This window comes from Homo sapiens, chromosome 17 (assembly GCF_000001405.40).
Source record: "Homo sapiens chromosome 17, GRCh38.p14 Primary Assembly".
Classification (NCBI taxonomy): domain Eukaryota; kingdom Metazoa; phylum Chordata; class Mammalia; order Primates; family Hominidae; genus Homo; species Homo sapiens.
In genome coordinates this window covers 82,193,270-82,214,452 of record NC_000017.11, presented here as the reverse complement: position 1 = coordinate 82,214,452, position 21,183 = coordinate 82,193,270, and the positions used below count along the sequence as shown (strand labels likewise).

The window sequence follows — 21,183 nt, the reverse complement described above, 5'->3', positions numbered from 1 at the left end:
GGATACAGACCAAGCAAGTCCTGGCTCCTCTTCTGGGTGTCCCAGCCCGTCTCGGACACCCACGCTTACCCAGGCCTGGTGGCTGCATCGTGGACATGGGGGCAAGGCAGCTCTCTGGGTGGGCAGAGGCAGGAGCTGAGGCAAGGATGTGGGCATCCTTTTGGGTACATCTAGTCCTAGAGCTGATCCAGGGGCCAGTCAAATGTGCAGCCAAAGTCGGGTCAACCCCAGCACTGTCCTGTGGGTGGGGGTAGCAGGGAGCCAACAGTCCAGGCCCTACATCCTGTTCTAATAGAGTGACAAGTCTGATGAGGCTGGGGGTGCACAAGCACTGAGAAGGCAGCAGGACAGGGAGCCAAACACATGGGGTGGTGGGGGAAACCAGGGAGCTGGACACAGGGTGGGGGGGTCCTGGGAGTTGGACACATGGGCCAGGTTGGGGGTCCAGGGAGCTAGACACAGGGGGTGGGGAGGGGAGTCCAGGGGACTAGACACAGAGTGGGGGGTGGGTCCAGGGGGCTAGACACACAGTGTGGGGGGTGGGTCCAGGGAGCCGGACATACACATGGGGTGGGGAGGGGGCATCCAGGGAACCAAGTCTAGGCAGAGGCAACTGGCGCAAAGGACCTGAGGCAGAAGAGGGTTTGGTGTGTGAGGCGGGACTGAGGACTGTGGGCGAGGGAGACAGCTCTACCAGGACGCATGGTTCGGGGAGGACAGGCTGCAGGGTGCCTGGGCTGCAGGCACGGCACGGAGAGGAGTGATCCAGTGTTAACAATGTGGGTGGAGGATGACACCAGACCCCTGGCTTATTGCCCCACCAGGGGAATTCCCAGACACCAAACACCCCCTCCACTCCCACGCAGAATTGCGGGCTGAGGGTTCGGGTGAGCCAGGCTGCTCTGTCCCGGGGCCGGGCTCTGTTCATCCATCCGCAGATGGATACGGACACGTGCCTTTTTCTGAGGATGTGAATGGTTGGGAATGGCTGTGCCTGAGGATGTTGTTCCCACAGGATGGTGGGGGCGACTTCGGGCCTCGGTGGGTCCCGACCCCCCTCCTTCCCCCAGTTCCCTAATCAGGGTCTGAGCGACCGCGCGCACGGCCCCTGGGCCCCGCCGGTCTCCGAGCCCGTGGGCAGCGCCGGGAACTCGTGCCCCGGTGGCCGCAGCCGACCCTTAGGCAGGACTTCGTGGCGCCCCCGGCCCGAACAGACCCCCACGGGCAGCCTCGGCCGCCCCGTGCTCCCTTCATCTCAGGGCAAAAGCTCAAGTCAACCCTTCGGGACCGCGAGCCGGGCGGCCTCAGGAAGCGGGCGCCTGGGGACCCTCGGCCGGGCCGGGGGCGGCGAAGGTGGGGGCGCCTCGCGCGGCGGAACCCGCCGTCCCCATAGCCCGGAGCCCCGTCCGGAGTCGCCCCGCTGACCGGTGAGGAGGCCGGGCTCCCTCCTTCGATCTGCGGCGGTGGTCGGGTCGGCCGGGGCGCCCCTCGGACCCGGGCGCAGCGCGGAACCCGGCGGGGCGGGAGGGGCCGGAACCTAGCGCCAGGGACCCCGTTTCCTGTCGGCGGGACCCGAGCGCTGCACCGAGCGCAGCCGGACGCGGCCGACTGACCCGGTCGCTGTGGCAACGCGGCGGGACCTGGCCAGCGCTGCTGGCGGGCGTTAGGGTGAGGTGCGGGCGGGCGGCGTGGGAGGCGTGGGAGGCGTGGGGGGCGCCGCTCCGACCACTCTTCCTGTAGAAAACCCCAGCAGCTGCCGTCCTGTCGGACGCAGCGCTTTGGTGGGGACCTGGAGCGCGAGGTCGACCCTCAGAGCTCGGCCAGGCCCGGACCGGGGATCCCCTCGCGGAGGCTGCGGCGGGGCGGGGCGGGGGTTGCGGCCGCGTGGAGCGGGAGCGTTCCCTCGGTCTCCCGTGGGTGACCTGGGGCGGTGGGCGCTGCCGACCAGGGCCCCGCAGCCCCGGGAGAATTCCCCGGGTTCCGCCGCCGGCAAGGACGGCTCCGCGCCCAGGCAGCCTTACAGTGTCTGTGAGTTTAAAAAAAAAAAAAAAAAAAGAGAGGAAAAAAAAAGGCCGGAGGCGGTGGTTCGCGCCTGTAATCCAGCACTTTGGGAGGCAGAGGCGGGCAGATTGCTTGAGGCCCGGAGTTCGAGACCAGCCTGGCCAACATGGTGAAACCCCCTCTCTACTAAAAATACAAAAATTATTGGGCGTGGTGGTGCACGCCTGTAATCCCAGCTACTCCGGAGGCTGAAGCAGGAGAATCGCTTGAACCCGATGTTGTAACTGAGGGAGTTATAGAGAGAACGCCACACTCTGAGACTACTCAGGAGTCCTGTATTGCCAGCGACTGACAGACTGCTAGAGCTGCAAATTCCCTCGGCCCCGAAGAAGGGGCTAGATTTCTTTTGATACCTTGGTCTAAATAGAGGAGGGGAGGCTAGCTGAAGCGATTTTTTTACAGAAGCAGAATAGGCAAAAAGTTAAAAGATAAATGGTTACAGAAACAGTTACAGGAAAATAAACAGTTCCAGGTACAGGGGCTTAAATTATCACAAAGTGATAAACGCAGGGGCTTTGGGTACCATCAACCGAGCGCGTTCCCAGGAGCTGCTGGTACAGCTTGCTCCAGTTTCTTATCAGTATTTTATCAGTAAGCGCATTCCTGGATGTGCTTGGAGTCAGCTTGCCCCAGTTATGTCCTTAAGGGACGGGGACAAGGGGCTGCAAGCGAAGAAACCAAAATGGTGTCTGTCCGGCCCTCTCAGCTAAGAGAGAGTCAGTCAGGTTAAAACAAAGTAGGGTACCACACCGAGAGGCGCAGGTTGCGGAGAGCCAAGATCGCGCCATTGCACTCCAGTCTGGGAGACAAGAGCGAAACTCGGTCTCAAAAAAAAAAAAAATTATCTGTAACTTAGAAAAAGGATACAAAAGGAGCACAGATTTCCCGTGTGCCTTTTGCCCAGAGCCCCTAGAATGCTGACCTCTTAGAGAACCACAGTTCATTCAGCAACATGTAGACGCTGGCGTTCATGTTGGTATCATCCCATGATCTGGTCTCCAGTATTTATTCTTGCTTAGCAGCTACCTCATGGATGACTTTACCGTGGTCCAGGATCCAATGATGAGTCCACTATTTTATAAAATGCCCCCCAGTTCGGGGGCATTTCTCTGATGTTTTGTCATAATTGATTTCATATTACTGATTTTTGGCAAGAAAACCTCAACAGGGAAATTGTGCCCTTCCCAGCGTCTTACGAGACACAGGATGCCCCTGGCTGTTGGTGCTAGTCACGTCCTGGGGGCTGAGGTGGTGTCTGCCAAGTGTGTCCATAAAGTTAGGGTCCTTCCCTTTGTAAATAATAAATATTTTGTGGGGAAATATCTTGCCACTATGTAAAAGATGATGTTTCTTTCTTTCTCTCTTTTTCTTTTTTTTTTTTCTTTTTTTTTTTTTTTTAAGACGGAGTCTCTCTTTGCCGCCCAGGCTGGAGTTCAGTGGCGCGATCTCGGCCCACTGCAACCTCTGCCTCCTGGGTTGAAGTGATTCTCCTGCCTCAGCCTCTCAAGTAGCTGGGATTACAGCCGCCCACCACCACCCCCAGCTAATCTGTGTATTTTTAGTAGAGACGAGGTTTCGTCATGTTGGCCAGGCTGGTCTCAAACTTCTGACCTCAGGTGATCCACCACCTTGGCCTCCCAAAGTGCTAGGATTACAGGTGTGAGCCACCGTGCCCGGCCTTTTTTTTTTTTTAATTAATTTTATTTTTTTGAGACTGAGTCTCTCTCTCTCTCGCCCAAGCTGGAGTGCAGTGGCTTGATCTCGGCTCACTGCAACCTCTGCCTCCCGGGTTCAAGTGATTGTCCTGCCTCAGCCTCCTGAGCAGCTGGGATTACCAGCGCCTGCCACCATGCCCGGCTATTTTTTTTTTTTTTGTATTTTTAGTAGAGACGGGGTTTCACCATGTTGGTCAGGCTGGTCTCGAACTGCTGACCCCAAGTGATCCGCCCGCCTTGGCCTCCGAAAGTGCTGGGATTACAGGCCTGAGCCACAACGCCCAGCAAGATCTTGTTTCTAACCATACTTCTGTCACTAATTTTAGCACCCATGAGTGTTTCCCCAAAATAACTGTTAATGTGCTATTTGTTAAATGATTTTTCTGTTTCCATTACTCCTACATTTATTAGTTGGGATTTTCCTATAAGAAAGAACCATCTCTTCCCAGGCTGGCTTGCAGGGGCGCGGTCTCGGTGTTAGTGCATCTTTTTATTCCATGGATTCTAACCCATCGCTATCACGTACTTTGTTGCTCACATTATCCAGATTGAGGTGTTAGGAGCCCCTTCAAGTTGGCCTCTCTGTCCTTATAGCACGTCCCAACCTTCTGGGAGCATTTTCTTTCTTTCTGGCATCACAGAATTCAGGCTTATCTTATGCTTGCCTTGACATATCCCAGAATCAGTCATTTCTCCAAGGAGCCCTGGTTCCTTTTAGTTTAGAAGGTAGTGTTTAGAAACCAAGATCCCAGTACCAGATAGACATATTGCTACTGGGATGCCATTTCTTCTTGGCTTTCTTAATGGATAGAGTAGGAAACGTGTTTCTATACACTATACACATGCAAATCTATTTCAGTATATCTGTGTCTCTGTATATATTAAAAACTGGCTGGGTACAGTGGCTCACGCCTGTAGTCCCACCACTTTGGGAAGCTGAGGGGGGAAAATCGCTTGAGGTGAGGAGTTGGAAACCAGCCTGGCCAACAAAGTGAGACACCCATCTCTATAAAAAATTACAAAATAAATTAGCCAGCCATGGTGGCGTGTGTCTGAGTCCCAGCTACTCTGGAGGCTGAGGTAGGAGGACCATCTGAGCTCAGGAGTTTGAGGCTGCAGTGAGCTATAATCATGCCACTGCACTGCAGCTCGGGTGACAGAGTGAGATCCCATCTCAACAAACAACAAACACCAAAAAAACCTGTGAGTTTATTACAAGTTACGCACTTGTAATCAAGTTAGGTTCACCTGTTTCTACTTCATTTTGAGTCCTTACTGATTTTAAGTTTTTTTGTTTTTTGTTGTGCTTTGTTTTTGGCACATGAAACATGTATACGTGGTTCTAAAAGTCCGCAAAGTCTAAACTCAACTACAAGACTTCGACTTCAACTTCTATTTCTCACTTACTCACTTTTTTTTGGCAAATGCACGTTCAAAGAAAACAGCCCTTCATGTTCCTTCGTGGTAGTGGTGCCCCTCTTCTCCAGCAAGTGCCACTGACAGAATTCAGACCTACTGCCCATCTCTCTTATTTCAGTTTTAGAAATGGCTGTGGCTACTCTTCGGCAGTCAGTGGAGGAAGTGAAAAAAAACACGGGGTCACAGGTACATAATTTTTGTCCCCTGGACCTATTTAAAGAGTAGATGAGAGGCTGGGTGCAGTGGTTCACACCTATAAGTACGTGGGAAGATCGCTTGAGCTGTAGCTTTTAGATGGGCATTCGAGGCTGCAGTGAGCTGTGATTGTGCCACTGCACTCCATCCTGGGTGACAGACTGAGACTCTGTTTCAAAACAAAAGAGTAGATTACTGAATTTGGCCTCCCAGAGGGCTTAGCAGCACTCTCTGGAATCCAAGAGGGGCCACAAGAGCTAAATTCAGTACATTTAAAGGTGAGAGGATCATTTGAGGCCAGGAGTTCAAGACCAGGCTGGACAATATAGTGGAACCCCATCTCTACAAGAAATTTAAAAAAAAAATTAACTGGGCATGGTGGTGCCTGCCTGTAGTCCCAGCTACTCAGGATGCTGAGATTGAGTCCTCTGTCCTGAGTACAAAGTGAATGAGCCACCCCAGACCTGCCTTCCAGTCCCAGGAAGTGTCTTATAAGTTAAGGGTATTAGGCCAGGCACGGTGGCTCACGCCTGTAATCCCAGCACTTCGGGAGGCCGAGGCGGGTGAATCACGAGGTCAGGAGTTCAAGACCAGCCTGGCCAAGATGGTGAAACCCCATCTCTACTAAAAGTACAAAAATTAGCCGGGCATGGTGGCGGGCGCCTGTAATCCCAGCTACTTGGGAGGCTGAGGCAGGAAAATAGCTTGAACCCAGGAGGTAGAGGTTGCAGTGAGCCAAGATCGCGCCACTGCATTCCAGCCTGGGCAAGAAAACAAGACTGTCTAAAATAATAATAATAAGTTAAGGGTATTAAATATATTTATACATGGAGGTCATAAAAATATATATATTTGGGCTGGGCGCAGTGGCTCACACCTGCGCCCGGCCCTTTGGGAGGCCGAGGCAGGTGGATCACCTGAGTTTGGGAGTTCCAGACCAGCCTGACCAACATGGAGAAACCCCTTCTCTGTGTATTTTTAGTAGATTTTATTTTATGTGTATTTTATTCACAGGTATTTCTGGAAAACTCAAACTGTTTTTCCTCTACTCTGATACCACAAGAATCATCAGCACAGAGGAAGACTTCTGTGATCAAATGTGGTGGGAGAGGGAGGTTTTCACCAGCACATGAGCAGTCAGTTCTGCCGCAGACTCGGCGGGTGTCCTTCGGTTCAGTTCCAACACCGCCTGCCTGGAGAGAGGTCAGACCACAGGGTGAGGGCTCAGTCCCCAAGACATAAACACCCAAGACATAAACACCCAACAGGTCCACCCCGCCTGCTGCCCAGGCAGAGCCGATTCACCAAGACGGGAATTAGGATAGAGAAAGAGTAAGTCACACAGAGCCGGCTGTGCGGGAGAACGGAGTTCTATTATGACTCAAATCAGTCTCCCCAAGCATTCGGGGATCAGAGTTTTTAAGGATAACTTAGTGTGTAGGGGGCCAGTGAGTTGGAGATGAAAGCGTAGGGAGTCGAAGGTGTCCTTTTGCGCCGAGTCAGTTCCTGGGTGGGGGCCACAAGATCGGATGAGCCAGTTTATCAATCCGGGGGTGCCAGCTGATCCATGGAGTGCAGGGTCTGCAAAATATCTCAAGCACTGATTGATCTTAGGTTTTACAATAGTGATGTTACCCCAGGAACAATTTGGGGAAGGTCAGAATCTTGTAGCCTGTAGCTGCATGACTCCTAAACCATAATTTCTTTTTTGTTTTTTTTTTTTTATTTTTGAGACAGGGTCTCACTCTGTCACCTAGGCTGGAGTGCAGTGGTGCAATCACAGCTCACTGCAGCCTCAACGTCGTAAGCTCAAGCGATCCTCCCACCTCAGCCTGCCTGGTAGCTGAGACTACAAGCGACGCCCCAGTTAATTTTTGTATTTTTGGTAGAGGCAGCGTTTTGCCGTGTGGCCCTGGCTGGTCTCGAACTCCTGGGCTCAAGTGATCCAGCCTCAGCCTCCCAAAGTGCTGGGACAACCGGGGCCAGTCACTGCACCTGGCCCTAAACCATAATTTCTAATCTTTTGGCTAATTTGTTAGTCCTACAAAGGCAGTCTAGTCCCCAGGCAAAAAGGGGGTTTGTTTCGGGAAAGGGCTGTTACTGTCTTTGTTTCAAACTATAAACTAAGTTCCTCCTAAACTTAGTTCGGCCTACACCCAGGAATGAACAAGGAGAGCTTGGAGGTTAGAAGCACGATGGAATTGGTTAGGTCAGATCTCTTTCACTGTCTGAGTTATAATTTTGCAATGGTGGTTCAAAGACTGCCCGCTTCTGACACCAGTCGCGAGTCCTGGCCTCCGGAACTTCTGACTGACCACTGGCTTCAAGTTGGGGTTCCCACAGCCCCCTCTTTGGGTTCGATTGATTTGCTGGGGTGACTCACAGAACCCAGGGAAACACATACGTGTAACAGTTTATTATAAAGGGTATTACAGAGGATACAGATGAGGAGATGCGTAAGGGGAGATATGGGGGAAGAGGCTTCCTGGAGGACCCCCCCACACCCCACCCACCACTCCCCAGGAACCTCTCCACACCCTGTCCTCTTGGGTGTTTAGGGAGGCTTCCTGAAGTCAGCATTCCTTCCCCCAGGGTAGAGGGTGGGAGCTCTGGGGAGGATCTTATGACCTACAATGGAAAGTCAGGTGAGAGTGGAGACCTGGAAGGATTCTGTTTCCTGAGGCCTGACACGCCCAACATTGCAACAAAAGACTGTGACGTGTGAGAGTTATGAGCCAGGAACTGTGCAAGAAAACCATGATGTGTCATTGTACCACAACAGGTAAACCTACAACATCACCGTTAGCTCAGCTCAGTATTTTTAAAATGAGAAAATCAAAGTGATGGGATGCCCACCCATGCTGTTCCAGCCCCTGCTGGGAGCTGGCTGGTTCAGGGAGCCCCACTGGTTCTCCTGAAAGAGGGTGAACGCACAGCGAGGCCTTCCCTCCCCGGCGGCTTCTCCTGCCGCTCCCCAACCCGGAAGCTTCATGGTCCTTCTTGAAACCAGGTGCTTGCTGGGGACGCCTGCTGGCCGACAGGCAGATTGCGTCCAGATGCTGAGTCCGTGCTTTTGAAAGCCAATTAATCTCAGCCTTGGGGCTTTGGGGATCATCCCGAGATGGGATTTGTACAGAAACAGAGCAGGCCGTTCTATGATGAGGTCAGAAGGAAAGGCGAGCCGAGCCCGGCTGACTTACAGGCCCTTGGTGTGTGGGGCTTCTTATGGGTCCTGAGTGTGATGGATAAAGCGCTGGAGATGCTGGGCTCTCACCGGGTGCTGCACCGAGTCACTTGCTGTATGGATTTTTCAGGCTGCTCTTCTGTGCAGAGCACAGAGGCCTGGGAGCACCCATCTCACATAGAGGGGGTGGTACGTGCCATCTGCCTGTCCTGGCTGCCTGAAGCTTTTGAAAACAGGGTGACCCGCTGAGTCCTGAGACCTGGTGGGAAGGAACCTCACCCAGTGGGGAGATGGGGGCATGGGGACCTGGAGTAGCACGTGCACAGGAACTGGCAGATAAAGGCTGCTCTGGGCCTGCAGGGAGCAGCTGGAGCCACGCAGGCTGGGCCGTGTCCTCGGTCTGTCTTCATACGCTGTGCCAAGGAGATCGGACTTTATTTTGAAAATGGTCAGGAGTCGCGGGCACATTTGAGGCCAGATAAGATTGCATGATCAGATTCTCAGAACGGCAACCCCCATGGGTGGCTGCGACCAATGAGTTAAGGAGGCAAGCCCAGTGGCAGGGCAGCTGGTACAGGACGGGGGCCACAGCAGTCCCTCAGAGAAGAGGCCCGTAGACCTCGCAGACCTCAGGCTCTGCAGAGAACCGTTGTCATGACTCACGGGCACTGTGTGAAGGGTTCTGAGTCATCAGAGATCACAGTGGTGTTCCATCATTTAATGTGTATTTGCTGATAGTCCAATTCTTTCCCTGTGTGTGCACAGGTGTGTGCACAGGTGTGTGCATGTCCTCTGTGTACAAAATGTTTCAGTCGCCAAGACTGTGCCAGACAGTGGGACTCACTACACCCGACACTGGGGTGATGGCGTTGTGCCAACGTGAGATGGAAGTTAGGAAAGCTTCCCTGCAGTGATGTTCAGGTTGAGGTCCCACTGGCAGGAGGAGCCTGCCCTGCGGTTAGGAGGAACCTTGCAGACAGAGCGGCACCTGCCACACATCCCAGGCTCTGAGGGCACGTGGCAGCGACAGGCAGGAGCCTGGGGTCCAGATGTCCTCAGTGGAATGGGAAGCCTGGTTAAGCCTTTTTTTTTTCTTGAGATGGAGTCTCTCTTTGTTGCCCAGGCCGGACTGCAGTGGTGCGATCTCAGCTCACTGCAAGCTTCGCCTCCGGGGTTCACGCCATTCTCCTGCCTCAGCCTCCCAAGTAGCTGGGACTACAGGCGCCCACCACCACGCCCAGCTAATTTTTTGTATTTTTAGTAGAGACGGGGTTTCACCGTGTTAGCCAGGATGGTCTCAATCTCCTGACCTTATGATCCGCCCGCCTCGGCCTCCCAAAGTCCTGGGATTACAGGCATGAGCCACTGCGCCCGGCCCTGGTAAAGCATTTTTGAAAAGATTCCTTTGGCAGCCAAAAAAGTGGGAGTGCACAGCAGAGGCCAGTTGAGGTCTCTTGTGGTAAGACACTGTGGTGGCCGAGGTGTGGGCACAAGGTGGGAGACAGCAAGAGGTCAAGGATCATTACACGGGGTGGACGGTGGGGCCGTTGTAGGAGCTGAGGGAGACGAGGAACAGGAGCGTGGGAGAGTGCTGAGATGGTCGGTAGGGACCCTGTTAGCTCCGGCAATGGGTGGGCACGCAGCAGCTTGGAGGAGCCAGGCTGAGGTGGTCCAGGTGGCGTGATGGTCCTAGGGTGCTGGGCGCGGGGGTTGCATCGCAGGAAGCATGTGGGATGGAGGAGACCGTCTTTGCTCCAGAGCCTCGTCAGAGAAGCGCCGTCTCAGGACCCCCAGGGAGCCCTCGTGCCCCCAGCGGGTGTGCCCTGCTGACCAGCCCTTTCTGGAGGGGCCCACGGGTCTTGCAGCCCCTTACCCACCTCCTCCTTGTGCTTCGTCACAGCCGGTGCTCAGCCTGGCTGTGCCCTTGTACCCGCTCCCTCTGGGAGTTGGGACTTTGTACAACCATTGCTGTGCCCCGAGATGCAGAGGTGCCCGGAGATACAGAGGTACCCTAAGACAGGCTGGGGCTTTTTCCTGCTCTGGCAGCAGCACCCCGGCCATGTCCCACCAGGCCGGAAGTTTGTGCTTGTCCCCCAACTGGGTGTGGCCCTTTTAGGCCATGCAGTTCCCCTGTGTGGACACCAGAGAAGAGTTGTGGGGGATTTCTGTGTCCAAATCGAGCTCATACTTGGACCTCTAAAGGGTTGGGGGCAGCTAGGACCAGCCAGAAGAAACTTTATCTTTTAATAGACCACTCACTGCAGCGTGGAACTCCTGAGTTTGAATGACCCACCCACCTCAGCCTCAGAAAATGTTGGGATTGCAGGCGAGAGCTACTGTGCCCAGCTTATTGGTTTTTGTGATTTTTGTTTTTAAATTTTATTTTTTGTAGCACTTTATTTTTATGGTTTTACCAAAATATCAGTCCATGATGAACAAATAAAAGAACAAAAGAATGTACTCTCGGATGGTATATTAGACCATTCTCACATTGCTGGAAAGAAATACCTGACGCTGGGTAATTTATAAAGAAAGATTAATTGGCTCACGGTTCTCCTGGCTGTACAGGAAGCACAGTGTTGGCACCCGCTTCTGGGGAGGCCTCAGGAAACTTTTACTCATGGCGGAAGGTGAAAGAGGAGCAGGCACGAAGCAAGAGGGGAGTGTGAGTGGTGGAGAGATGCCACATCTCACTAGAACTCATTGTCACCACACACTTTGAAATGACCAAATCTCCCCAGAACTCACTGTCACAAAGACGGCACCAAGCCACGAGGGGTCCGCCCACATGATCCAAACACCTCCCACCAGGCCCCAGCTCCCCCGTTGGGGATTACAATTCCACAAAGGTTTGGGCAGGGATAAATATCGAAACCATATCAGGTGGTGAATCTTCCAGGAGCAGGGTGTTGGGTGGGAAGGGGCATTGGTTCTGAGGGACTGACCTGCTGTCAGTCCTCACGTAGCCACTTAGCAGCCTTAGTTTTCTCAGCTGTGAAATGGACAGAGTGCTGCGTTGAAGCTATTTTATAGAACCTAGCTCTTATAGCTGGACAAACCATGTTTCCCATCTTCCCTTCCTCTACTTCCCCTGGATTTCTTTTTTTTAATTTATTTTTTTAATTTTTTGGAGAAAAGAGTCTTAGTGTCGCCCAGGCTGGAGTGCAATGGTGCGATCTCTGCTCACTGCAACCTCCACTTCCTGGGTTCAAGTGATCCTCCTGCCTCAGCCTCCCGAGTAGCTGAGATCACAGGCATGCGCCACCATGCATGGCTAATTTTTATATTTTTAGTAGAGACGGGGTTTCACCATGTTGGCCAGGCCGGTCTCAAACTCCTGACCTCAGGTGACCCACCCACTTTGGCCTCCCAAAGGGCTGGGATTACAGGAGTGAGCCACCATGCCTGGCCTTTTTTTTTTGTTTATTTTGTTTTGAGAGAGAGTCTTGCTCTGTCACCCAGGCTGGTGTGCAACCTCTACCTCCTGGGTTCAAGCGATTCTCCTGCCTCAGCCTCCCGAGTAGCTGGGACTACAGGCACGTGCCACCACAGCAGGCTAATTTTTTGTATTTTTAGTAGAGACGGGGTTTCACCATGTTAGCCAGGCTGGTCTCGATCTCCTGACCTCAAGTGATCCATCCACCTGGGCCTCCCAAAGTGCTGGGATTACAGGCGTGAGCCACTGCACCCGGCCTAATTTTTGTATTTTTAGTAGAGACAGGTTTTTGCCATGTTGGCCAGGCTGGTCTTGAACTCCTGACCTCAGGTGATCCGCCTGCCTCGGCCTCCCAAAGGGCTGGGATTACAGGTGTGAGCCACCGTGCCCGGCCGTGGTAACTGTTGATAGGGAATGTGAGGTAGGTACTGTGGTAGGAAAATTAGGGCCCCTCACGGTGCACCCTGAACCTGATTTCTCTTTACTGCAGCGGCCACCATGCTGCCACTGGGCTCAGAGCCCGCCCTGAATGAGCTGCTGCTTCGCAAGGAGGAGGAGTGGAGGGCGCTGCAGGCACACCGCACCCAGCTGCAGGAGGCGGCTCTGCAGGACACACGGAGCCAGCTGGAGGAGGCGCAGGGGAAACTGCGGTGCCTGCAGGAGGACTTTGTCTACAACCTTCAGGTGCTGGAGGAGCGGGACCTCGAGCTGGAGCGCTATGACGCCGCCTTCGCCCAGGCCAGGGAGTGGGAAGAGGCCAGGCGGGCAGAGGTGAGCGAGCTCAAGATAGAGGCAGCTAAGCTGAGGCAGGCGCTAGCCAGAGAGGCCAGGAAGGTGGAGGAGCTGCAGCAGCAGCAGCAGCTGGCATTCCAGGAGCATCGCCTGGAGCTGGAGCGCGTCCACAGGTGAGCCACCGACCGACGCGCCCTCCTGTGCAGTGCCTGGCAGAGGCCCCCACATGCCTCCTGCTCCGCTGTGCTGCCCGAGCACTGCCCACTCTCACTGCCCCTCCTCCCGCTGCTGATTCCAGGCCACGGGAGCTGGTCTGTCTGAGTGGCCGAGTGCCTCGTGGCCTCTGAACATGTGTTTGTTGAGTTAATGTGGATGGATCCAGGAATGCCCTGACTGTCTTTTTCTGGGTTCTGATATAACTCTGAAATTAATGGAGATTGGTTTTAATATTTGGAATTTATTTCATTAATTATAAATCTATATTAATACATATTTGAATTTATAATGATTTTAATGGAAGTCTGTAGTAATTTCAAAACTAAATGAGCTGACTTAAGGCAAGTCGACATAAAAACCTAAAGCCTTTGTTGTGGGGCCTGTGGTGGGGCCCCTGGAACTCAACCACATGCCTGGTATCCCCTCAGCTCCACTCACCCAGCCATGCTGTGGAGAGTTTGAGGAGACAGGAAGGAAGGAGGACAGGCTTCTCTGATAAGCTCTTCCATCCCCCACTTCAGAAGTACCGCAGGTTCATCATAGCACATTAACAGAGGCCCTTCCTGTGTGATGCGTGTGTACAGACGTTAGGAGAGCCGGCTGCATGCTCTGTTTACACTTAACAGGATCCTGGGTACTTTTTTTATGTTTTATGTATTCTTCTAACATAAGCAGCATTTTTTTTCTTTTCTTTTTTTTTGAGACAGAGTTTTTAGCTGTGTTGTCCAGGCTGGATCGCAGTAGCGTGATCTCGGCTCGCTGCAACCTCCATCTCCCGGGTTCAAGTGATTCTCCTGCCTCAGCCTCCCACGTAGCTGGGACTATAGGTGCCCACCACCACGCCCGGCTAATTTTTTTTTCTTTTGTATTTTTAGTAGAGACGGGGTTTTGCCATGTTGCCCAGGCTGGTCTTGAACTCCTGACCTCAGGTGATCCACTGGCCTTGGCTTCCTGAAGTGCTGGGATTATAGACGTGAGCTACCGCGCCTGGCCATAAGCAGCTTTTTAAAGCACTTTTTAAAGCCGCAGGAGTAAACTATTCTTATCATAGAAAGTCATTTCTCAGAGAAGATACTGTGGTGGAATGGCGAAGTGAAAGCCGCCACGGGCAATCTGTTGTGTCATCTCCAGGCCCCATATAGAGCCACCTGCGCACACTGCTCCGAAATGTGCGTCCAGCACTTCCTGATCGATTTGTGGTGTCTGTCCTTCGTGTCAGTGCGCTGGGTTCTGCCACGCCCTTTTAACTGACCAGCTACCCTCTGTTGTGTGTGTTGGGCCGGTTTGCTCAGAAGGGTCTCAGATGGGTGTGAACGGGCCAACAGGACCACACCAGGTGCTCCGGTCCAGCAGAGAGACCTTCTGCGGCAGGTCAGGTGCAAGGAGAGGAGACCCACATTGGTGGGTGTGGTGCCCCTCTAGCTCAGAAGCCCCAACCAGTATTGTGCAGCCAGTATCTCCTGTAGCAGCCCGCAGGGATCGCGTCTGCAGTCCCTGCAGCAGATGTACCCTGAGCGCCACCGTCTTCTGGGAAGCCCACAGTGTTGATGGTCCCTCTCTCTATCGCATCTCGCGGCGTGGATAAAAAGTGCCAGTCAGCAGTCATTTGACCCACGCAGTGCTGCTTGCTAATGTGGTAGACACCCGTGTGCCACCTGCCCAGTGTCCAGGGAAAGAGAGAGTTGAGCTGGAGGTCAGCTTCTCCCTGAGTGGAGGGAGGGTGTCTGGAAGCTCCCGTCCCCAGCATGAAGGCTGGTGCTCAGCCTGCACCTCGTCTGGGCGCCGAGTCCGTGCAGGTGCGTGCAGTGCTTGGACAGCTGAGGCCCACTTGCCCGCCGTGCGGGTGCTGACTTTCTCATAGCTGCTTTCCAGAGTGTTTACAGCATCCTTTTAAAAGTGCTTTACGTTATGTTGTGAAGTGTCTCTTCAAGTCTTTTGCTCATTCTTCTCTCCAAACCTGGGATGTTTTCAGCCATGTTCAGGTACTTTTTCAGTCTCACACTCTTTTTTTTTTTTTGAGACAGAGTCTTGCTCTGTCGCCCAGGCTGGAGTGCAGTGGCGCGATCTCGGATCACTGCAACCTCTGCCTCCGGGGTTCAAGGGGTTCTCCTGCCTCAGCCTCCCGAGGAGCTGTCACTACAGGTGTGTGCCACCATGCCCGGCTAATTTTTGTATTTTTAGTGGAGATGGGGTTTCACCATGTTGGCCAGGCTGGTCTTGGACTCCTGACCCCGGGTGATCCACCTGCCTTGGCCTCCCAAAGCGCTGGAATTACAGGCGTGAGCCACCACACCCAGCCTGCTATAGCTTTTTCTTTGCTGAGATTTGTTTTTCCATTTGCTTTACTAGATTACTTGAAGCGCTTTTATAATGACTGCTGTAGCTTCCTTGTTGAAGAATTCCAGCGTCTGTGTCATCTTGGTGTTGGCATCTACCTATTATCTTTTCTCCTTCAAGCTCAGATCTTTCTTTTTTTTCCTTTTTCTTTTTTTTTTTTTTTTTGAGATGGAGTCTCGCTCTGTCGCCCAGGCTGGAGTGCAGTGGCACGATCTCAGCTCACTGCAAGCTCCACCTCCCGGGTTCACGCCATTCTCCTGCCTCAGCCTCCCGAGTAGCTGGGACTACAGGCGCCCGCCACCACGCCCGGCTAATTTTTTTTGTATTTTTTTGTAGAGACGGGGTTTCACCGTGTTAGCCAGGATGCTCTCGATCTCCTGACCTTGTGATCCGCCCACCTCGGCCTCCCAAAGTGCTGGGATTACAGGCGTGAGCCACTGGGCCTGGTCAGATCTTTCCGGTTTTTGGTTGTCAGGTTTTTTTTTTAATTGTATCCTGGACATTTTGGGTTTTATGTTGTGAGACTCTGGGCCCTATTTAATTTCCTCTTTTATAGATGGGTGTAGCATGCTGGTCCAGGTGGGGCTGGAAGTTCTGCTACCCCGTGGGTCCTGCTGAAGCCACCCCTTCATAAAAGCAAAGCACCAACTTTCACATGTCAAGTGCACCTTGAAAATGTATTACCTTTGCTGAATATTTGGTATGGCTTTTCTTAATGCTGTTTTATTACCATAGTGACAAGAATGGTGAGATTGACCACCACCGGGAACAGTATGAAAATCTAAAATGGACACTGGAGAGAAAACTTGAGGAGCTCGACGGTGAGCTTGCTCTGCAGAGACAGGTAGAGCCTCTGGGTCGGCCCCTTCCTGGGTGCTTTCCCTGCCTGCCCACTGTGAAACTGAAATCATATAGGGCTGAGGAAAAGACAACCATTTGGTTCATTGCCTGCATTCTCCTTGGGAGTAAAATGGGGTCTTTGGGGCAGATGCCACTCTGGGATGGTCTGCAGGGAAACAGGATGGGATGTCTACATGCAGCCACCTCCACAGTGTTTCCTTGTTTTCTTTCCTCATGGATTAGTCAGGGTTCTCCAGGGAAACAGGCAATAGGAGACGTGTAGATATATAGGAGATAAATTGTAGGAATTCACTCGTGCAGTTACGGAGGCCATGAAGTCCCACAGTTTGTCATCTGCAAGCTGGAAAACCTGGGAAGCTGGTGGTGTAATTCAGCCCAGGGGCAAAGGCCTGAGCACCAGGGAGCCACTGATGTGAGTCCTGGTCCAGCTCTGAAGGCCCAAGATGCAGGAGCCCAATGTCCAAGGGCAGGAGAAGGCGAGTGTCTCAGCTCAAGCAGAGAGAGCGAGTTCACCCTTCCTTGCATTTCGTTCTATTCAGGCCCTCAGTGGATTGAATGACGCCCATCCACAGGAGGAGGGCTAGTCTCTTCTGGAAACACCCTTGCAGACACTCCCAGAAATAATTTTTTACCAGCTATCCGGGCAGCCCGTAGCCCAGTCATTTGACACATGGAATTAACCAGCACACCTCAGAAATGATGAAACTTTTAAATTTATTTTTAGAAAGGTATAATTTTAAAAACATGAATTATTTACTATGGAAAAGAATTTGGAATTCAATTATGATAAGTTTAAAAACAGATGCTTCAACTGAAAAGTGGCAGTCACCGAATTTCTCCTCAATGTTCTGGAAACTCAGCCTACACCTCCAAGAGACTCAGCTGTGCTGGGGTTTTGTTGAAAGACATCCTATAGATTTATATCTAGAGACCACAGTCAGAGATGCTGCCACTGTGTGCATATGTGACAAGGGGCTGCATCTCTGCAGGTTTACGTGTGATGAGGGGCTGTGCCTGTGCAGGTGCAGGTGTCATGAGGGGCTGCGTCTCTGCAGGTGCAGGTGTCACGAGGGGCTGCGTCTCTGCAGGTGTCATGAGGGGCTGCGTCTCTGCAGGAGTCACGAGGGGCTGCGTCTGCAGGAGTCACGAGGGGCTGTGTCTCTGCAGGTGCAGGAGTCATGAGGGGCTGTGTGTCTGCAGGTGCAGGAGTCACGAGGGGCTGCGTCTCTGCAGGAGTCACGAGGGGCTGCATCTCTGCAGGAGTCATGAGGGGCTGCGTCTGCAGGAGTCACGAGGGGCTGAGTCTCTGCAGGAGTCACGAGGGGCTGCGTCTCTGCAGGTGCAGGAGTCACGAGGGGCTGCGTCTCTGCAGGTGCAGGAGTCACGAGGGGCTGCGTCTCTGCAGGTGCAGGAGTCATGAGGGGCTGCGTCTCTGCAGGAGTCACGAGGGGCTGCGTCTCTGCAGGTGCAGGAGTCATGAGGGGCTGCGTCTCTGCAGGTGTCCTGAGGGGCTTCTTCTGTGAAGGTGCAGGTGTGATGAGGGGCTGCGTCTCTGCAGGTGCAGGTGTAATAAATGGCTCTGTCTATGCAGGTAGGTGTAAGTGTTACTAGAAGCTGTGTCTATGGGGGTGTCATAAGGGGCTGCGTCTGTGCAGGTGCAGCAGTGATGAAGGGCTTTGTGCAGGTGTGACAGGGTCCCCTCTCTGGTCCTGTCGGATGTTGGGAGCTTGGTCATAGTAGGATAGGCCAGTGTGTCACTAATTTGCCACAGTCAGGTCAGCAGAGAAGGAGGCCACGCTCACGTCATGATGGGCCCTCCTGTGGACTGTCCAGTTGTCCCCGGAAGTGCTGAGCTCACTCCCGTTGTTCACAGGTCCCTGAGGCTGCTTCTGAAATGGCCTGCAGAGGACTTTCTCTTGGAATTCTCAGAAACCAAAGAGCTTTGTCGATTATGGATGAGTTTGAGAACAGCCGGAGTTCTTTAGGCATGAAGCCAGCGTCTAAAATCCGTGGTCAGTAAGAGACCAGTGGTGACTTTTCTAAGTAGTGAGGCTTCCTCAAGTGGCTCCAAAGTCACTTCCAAAGAAGGAGTTTGAGGAGGATCCAGCTGTGGGTGGTCCTGCCCAGCAGGTGGGGGGCTCTTGGCAGCATCTGGGGACAGTGGCGATTTGAGGCTGGTTGTAGTTGGCAGGGCGCAGCCATTCTTGTCAGAGTTTCTGGCTGGGCCGTGACTATGGCTGACTTCCCAGGCTGTCCACGCCGAATTTCTCAGACTCAGCAGGGCTCGTTCAGGGAGAGCCATCTCAGACGTTGGGAACATGGATTTTTTATCATGTTCAGATAGTATCCTTGTCTCTGGAAAGAAGGAAACGTGACGTTTTAACGTGGCAGCTTTGGTTACTAGGGGAAACTTGGGCAGCACACATCCGGTGTGGTTCTGGGTAGTCCGATCCTGTGTGGGCTCTGGGATGCTGGCACTGGCTGTCGGGAAGCTCTGTTCTACTGCCGGCATCTCAGCCTTTTAGTTACTAAGCTAGGGTCTTACGTGCTTGTCAGTTTCATGGTTTCCTTTGCTCTGATTTCTTGTCTTGTTTTGGAAGATCTTGGTGTTTGTTATTGTCAGAGGTAGAATTGACTCAATGGAGATAAGGATTTTTCTTTTTCTTTTCTTTTTTTTTTCTGTAGCGACAGGGCCTCACTGTGTTGCCCAGGCTGGTCTTGAATTCCTGGGCTCAAGCGATCCTCCCGCCTCGGCCTCCCAGAGTGCTGTTACCAGTGTCGCTGACCCCAGCTTCTCTCCTGGACAGTGTGTGTGGTCCTTCTCTGTTAAACACTGTGTCCTGCTCACCTCTGGATCCCACCTCCCAGGACGTGGGTGGGGGTCTTTGCTGGGTTCCCACTGTTCTTTCATCATGAAACCTGTTTGTTCCAGGAACTGCTGCTGGAGTTTGAATCGAAAATGCGGAAGAGGGAGCACGAATTCCGTCTGCAGGCTGACAACATGAGCAACACAGCCTTGTCCCGGGAGCTTAAGGTAACTGGGGGCACCCTTGGGTCGTGAAGGTTTTTCGGTTTTTCCTTGGTCAGGTGTGGTGGCTCACACCTGTCATCTCAGCACTTTGGGAGACCAAGGCAAGAGGATCCCTTGGGCCCAGGAGTTCAAGCCCAGCGAGCAGGTGGGCCATGTGGATGCCCTGTGCCCCATGGCAGGGTGGGCACTCCCGTCAAAGGTGGGCACCGGGTGCCAGTTCACCTCCGCCTGCATCTGCTGTGTGATTTGGTCACAGCCCTGGACACCTGCCCGTGGTGGGCATCACGGTGCACAGATCAGTAGGAAAAGCAAGAGCTGAGTCTCGACGCCTGCCCATGCCGGGCGCAGCCCGGTCCTCATGTCAGCAGGCTTGGGTGCAGCAGCCATCGTCACCACCCGTGGCTTACAGGCTGGGAAACAGGCCCAGGAAGGTACCGAAGAGCTCAGTGTGCAGCTGGGACGCGAGTGGCTTGCTCAGCACTGAGCCCCTTCCTAGACCCCTGGCTTTGTGTTTAATTTCCTTATTTAAATAACTTTCAAATTATGTGCTAAGAAATGAAGTGCAGTTAAATTGGTCTGTTGGGCTTGGACATGTATGGGGCACCCTAATAGACTGATTTTGGTGGGGTACTGAGTGCTGTCAGGGGGTCAATGAAGGCCGGGCACGGTGGCTCACACCTGTAATCCCAGCACATTGGGAGGCTGAGGCGGGTGGATCACCTGAGGTCAGGAGTTTGAGACCAGCCTGGCCAACATGGGAAACCCTGTCTCTACTAAAAATACAAAAATTAGCTGGGTGTGGTGGTGGGTGCCTGTAATCCCAGCTACTCGTGAGGCTAAGGCAGGAGAATTGCTTGAACCCAGGAGGGGGAGGTTGCAGTGAGCCGAGATCACGCCATTGCACTCCAGCCTGGGCAACAGAGCAAGACTCTGTCTCCAAAAAGAAAAAAAAAAAAGTCATTGAGTCTCGTTTGAGTTGTGTTAGGACATTCTCACTGTTTTACTGCTTCTTGAATTTTCATTTTTCTTCTCCCTCCCAATCCTGATAAAACAGCAGTATGTACCCCTAATGCCTCAGTGTCTTCTAATTATCACCTCATTTTGAACTCATTTTTATCATTCAAAGGTTAAACTACTGCACAAAGAGCTGGAGGCTCTGAAGGAAGCCGGGGCAAAGGCTGCAGAGAGTCTGCAGAGGGCAGAGGCCACCAACGCCGAGCTGGAGAGGAAGCTCCAGAGCCGAGCCGGGGAGCTCCAGGACCTGGAGGCCATGAGCCGCGCCCGGTGCGCGAGTCCTTCATCTCCCGAGGCGTGCTCTGTGGCAGCCTCGCAGGCCAGGACTGGAGTCTGGGGGATTCTACCTTTTCTGCTCATTCCAGGCTGGTCTTTGCTTTCATCTCACTTGCTCCTTCCATAAATATTTGTTTCTTTTCAGGGTAAAGGATTTAGAGGATAAACTTCACTCTGTGCAGCTAACCAGGAAGAAGGAAGAGGAAACATTTAAGAGGAAGTGAGTGTTTCGGCTCCCAACATCATGCAGCATGTCAGTGGCCCCAGGAGAGGAGGGAAGTGGAACCATTGTGCTGATGGCCCAGGGAGCAGAGGGTCCCACTCCAGGGATCGGACCTGGGAGCCCGCTGTTTTGGATTTCTTTCTCCTTCTTTTTCTTCCTTTCTTTCTTGCTTGCTTGCTTTCTTGCTTTCTTGCTTGCTTTTTTTTTTTTGACAGGGTCTTGCTCTGTGCCCAGGCTGGATTGCCGTGGTGTGATCTTGGCTCACTGCATCCTCCCCTCCCGGGTTCAAACAATTCTCGTGTCTCAGCCTCCCAAATAGCTGGTGCTATAGGCGTGCACAACCATGCCTGGCTAATTTTTGTATTTTTAGTAGAGACAGGGTCTCACCATGTTGGCCAGGCTGGTCTTGAACTCTTAGCCTCAAATGACCCGCCCACCTCCTTGGCCTCCCAAAGTGCTGCGATTATAGGCATGAGCCGCCAC

The 21,183-nt window shown here is 53.0% G+C and overlaps 1 protein-coding gene across 38 annotated transcripts in view, besides 9 other annotated features; it reads left to right on the top strand.

The window, feature by feature from the left end:
- Positions 258-1,200: an enhancer, noted in NCBI's record as "H3K27ac-H3K4me1 hESC enhancer chr17:80171129-80172071 (GRCh37/hg19 assembly coordinates)". NCBI's record gives its function as "activates a minimal SCP1, AML or CMV promoter by ChIP-STARR-seq in naive H9 embryonic stem cells {active_cell/tissue: H9 hESC(naive)}" and the evidence as "EXISTENCE:reporter gene assay evidence [ECO:0000049][PMID:30033119]".
- Positions 1,151-2,070: a silencer, noted in NCBI's record as "silent region_9195". NCBI's record gives its function as "represses an Ori minimal core promoter by ATAC-STARR-seq in GM12878 lymphoblastoid cells {active_cell/tissue: GM12878}" and the evidence as "EXISTENCE:reporter gene assay evidence [ECO:0000049][PMID:35858748]".
- Positions 1,611-21,183, top strand: part of CCDC57 (coiled-coil domain containing 57) — a 111,373-nt gene continuing 91,800 nt past the window's right edge. For 10 of the 38 annotated variants that reach the window (XR_001752485.3, XM_047435770.1, XM_047435769.1 and 7 more), the window contains exons 1-8: positions 1,611-1,668; positions 5,314-5,381; positions 6,405-6,606; positions 12,501-12,915; positions 16,031-16,139; positions 19,089-19,190; positions 20,314-20,471; positions 20,623-20,697. Coding sequence is in view for 34 of the 38 variants with exons in the window: in XM_047435770.1 (XP_047291726.1) it covers positions 5,322-5,381; positions 6,405-6,606; positions 12,501-12,915; positions 16,031-16,139; positions 19,089-19,190; positions 20,314-20,471; positions 20,623-20,697 (1,121 nt within the window). In the remaining 4 variants the exon portion in view is untranslated. Of the gene's footprint in view, positions 1,669-5,313; positions 5,382-6,404; positions 8,173-12,500; positions 12,916-16,028; positions 16,140-17,356; positions 18,965-19,088; positions 19,191-20,313; positions 20,698-21,183 lie in introns of those variants that run through there. The other 28 variants (XR_007065291.1, XM_047435773.1, XM_047435778.1 and 25 more) reach the window with 17 other exon arrangements.
- Positions 7,661-8,462: an enhancer, noted in NCBI's record as "H3K27ac-H3K4me1 hESC enhancer chr17:80163867-80164668 (GRCh37/hg19 assembly coordinates)". NCBI's record gives its function as "activates a minimal SCP1, AML or CMV promoter by ChIP-STARR-seq in primed H9 embryonic stem cells {active_cell/tissue: H9 hESC(primed)}" and the evidence as "EXISTENCE:reporter gene assay evidence [ECO:0000049][PMID:30033119]".
- Positions 7,661-9,264: a biological region, named in NCBI's record as "H3K27ac-H3K4me1 hESC enhancers GRCh37_chr17:80163065-80163866 and GRCh37_chr17:80163867-80164668".
- Positions 7,937-8,046: an enhancer, noted in NCBI's record as "active region_12993". NCBI's record gives its function as "activates an Ori minimal core promoter by ATAC-STARR-seq in GM12878 lymphoblastoid cells {active_cell/tissue: GM12878}" and the evidence as "EXISTENCE:reporter gene assay evidence [ECO:0000049][PMID:35858748]".
- Positions 8,117-8,176: an enhancer, noted in NCBI's record as "active region_12992". NCBI's record gives its function as "activates an Ori minimal core promoter by ATAC-STARR-seq in GM12878 lymphoblastoid cells {active_cell/tissue: GM12878}" and the evidence as "EXISTENCE:reporter gene assay evidence [ECO:0000049][PMID:35858748]".
- Positions 8,286-8,580: an enhancer, noted in NCBI's record as "tiled region #14342; HepG2 Activating DNase unmatched - State 5:Enh, and K562 Activating DNase unmatched - State 5:Enh". NCBI's record gives its function as "activates a minimal TATA promoter and a strong SV40 promoter by Sharpr-MPRA in HepG2 and K562 cells {active_cell/tissue: HepG2 | K562}" and the evidence as "EXISTENCE:reporter gene assay evidence [ECO:0000049][PMID:27701403]".
- Positions 8,463-9,264: an enhancer, noted in NCBI's record as "H3K27ac-H3K4me1 hESC enhancer chr17:80163065-80163866 (GRCh37/hg19 assembly coordinates)". NCBI's record gives its function as "activates a minimal SCP1, AML or CMV promoter by ChIP-STARR-seq in naive and primed H9 embryonic stem cells {active_cell/tissue: H9 hESC(naive and primed)}" and the evidence as "EXISTENCE:reporter gene assay evidence [ECO:0000049][PMID:30033119]".
- Positions 8,507-8,686: an enhancer, noted in NCBI's record as "active region_12991". NCBI's record gives its function as "activates an Ori minimal core promoter by ATAC-STARR-seq in GM12878 lymphoblastoid cells {active_cell/tissue: GM12878}" and the evidence as "EXISTENCE:reporter gene assay evidence [ECO:0000049][PMID:35858748]".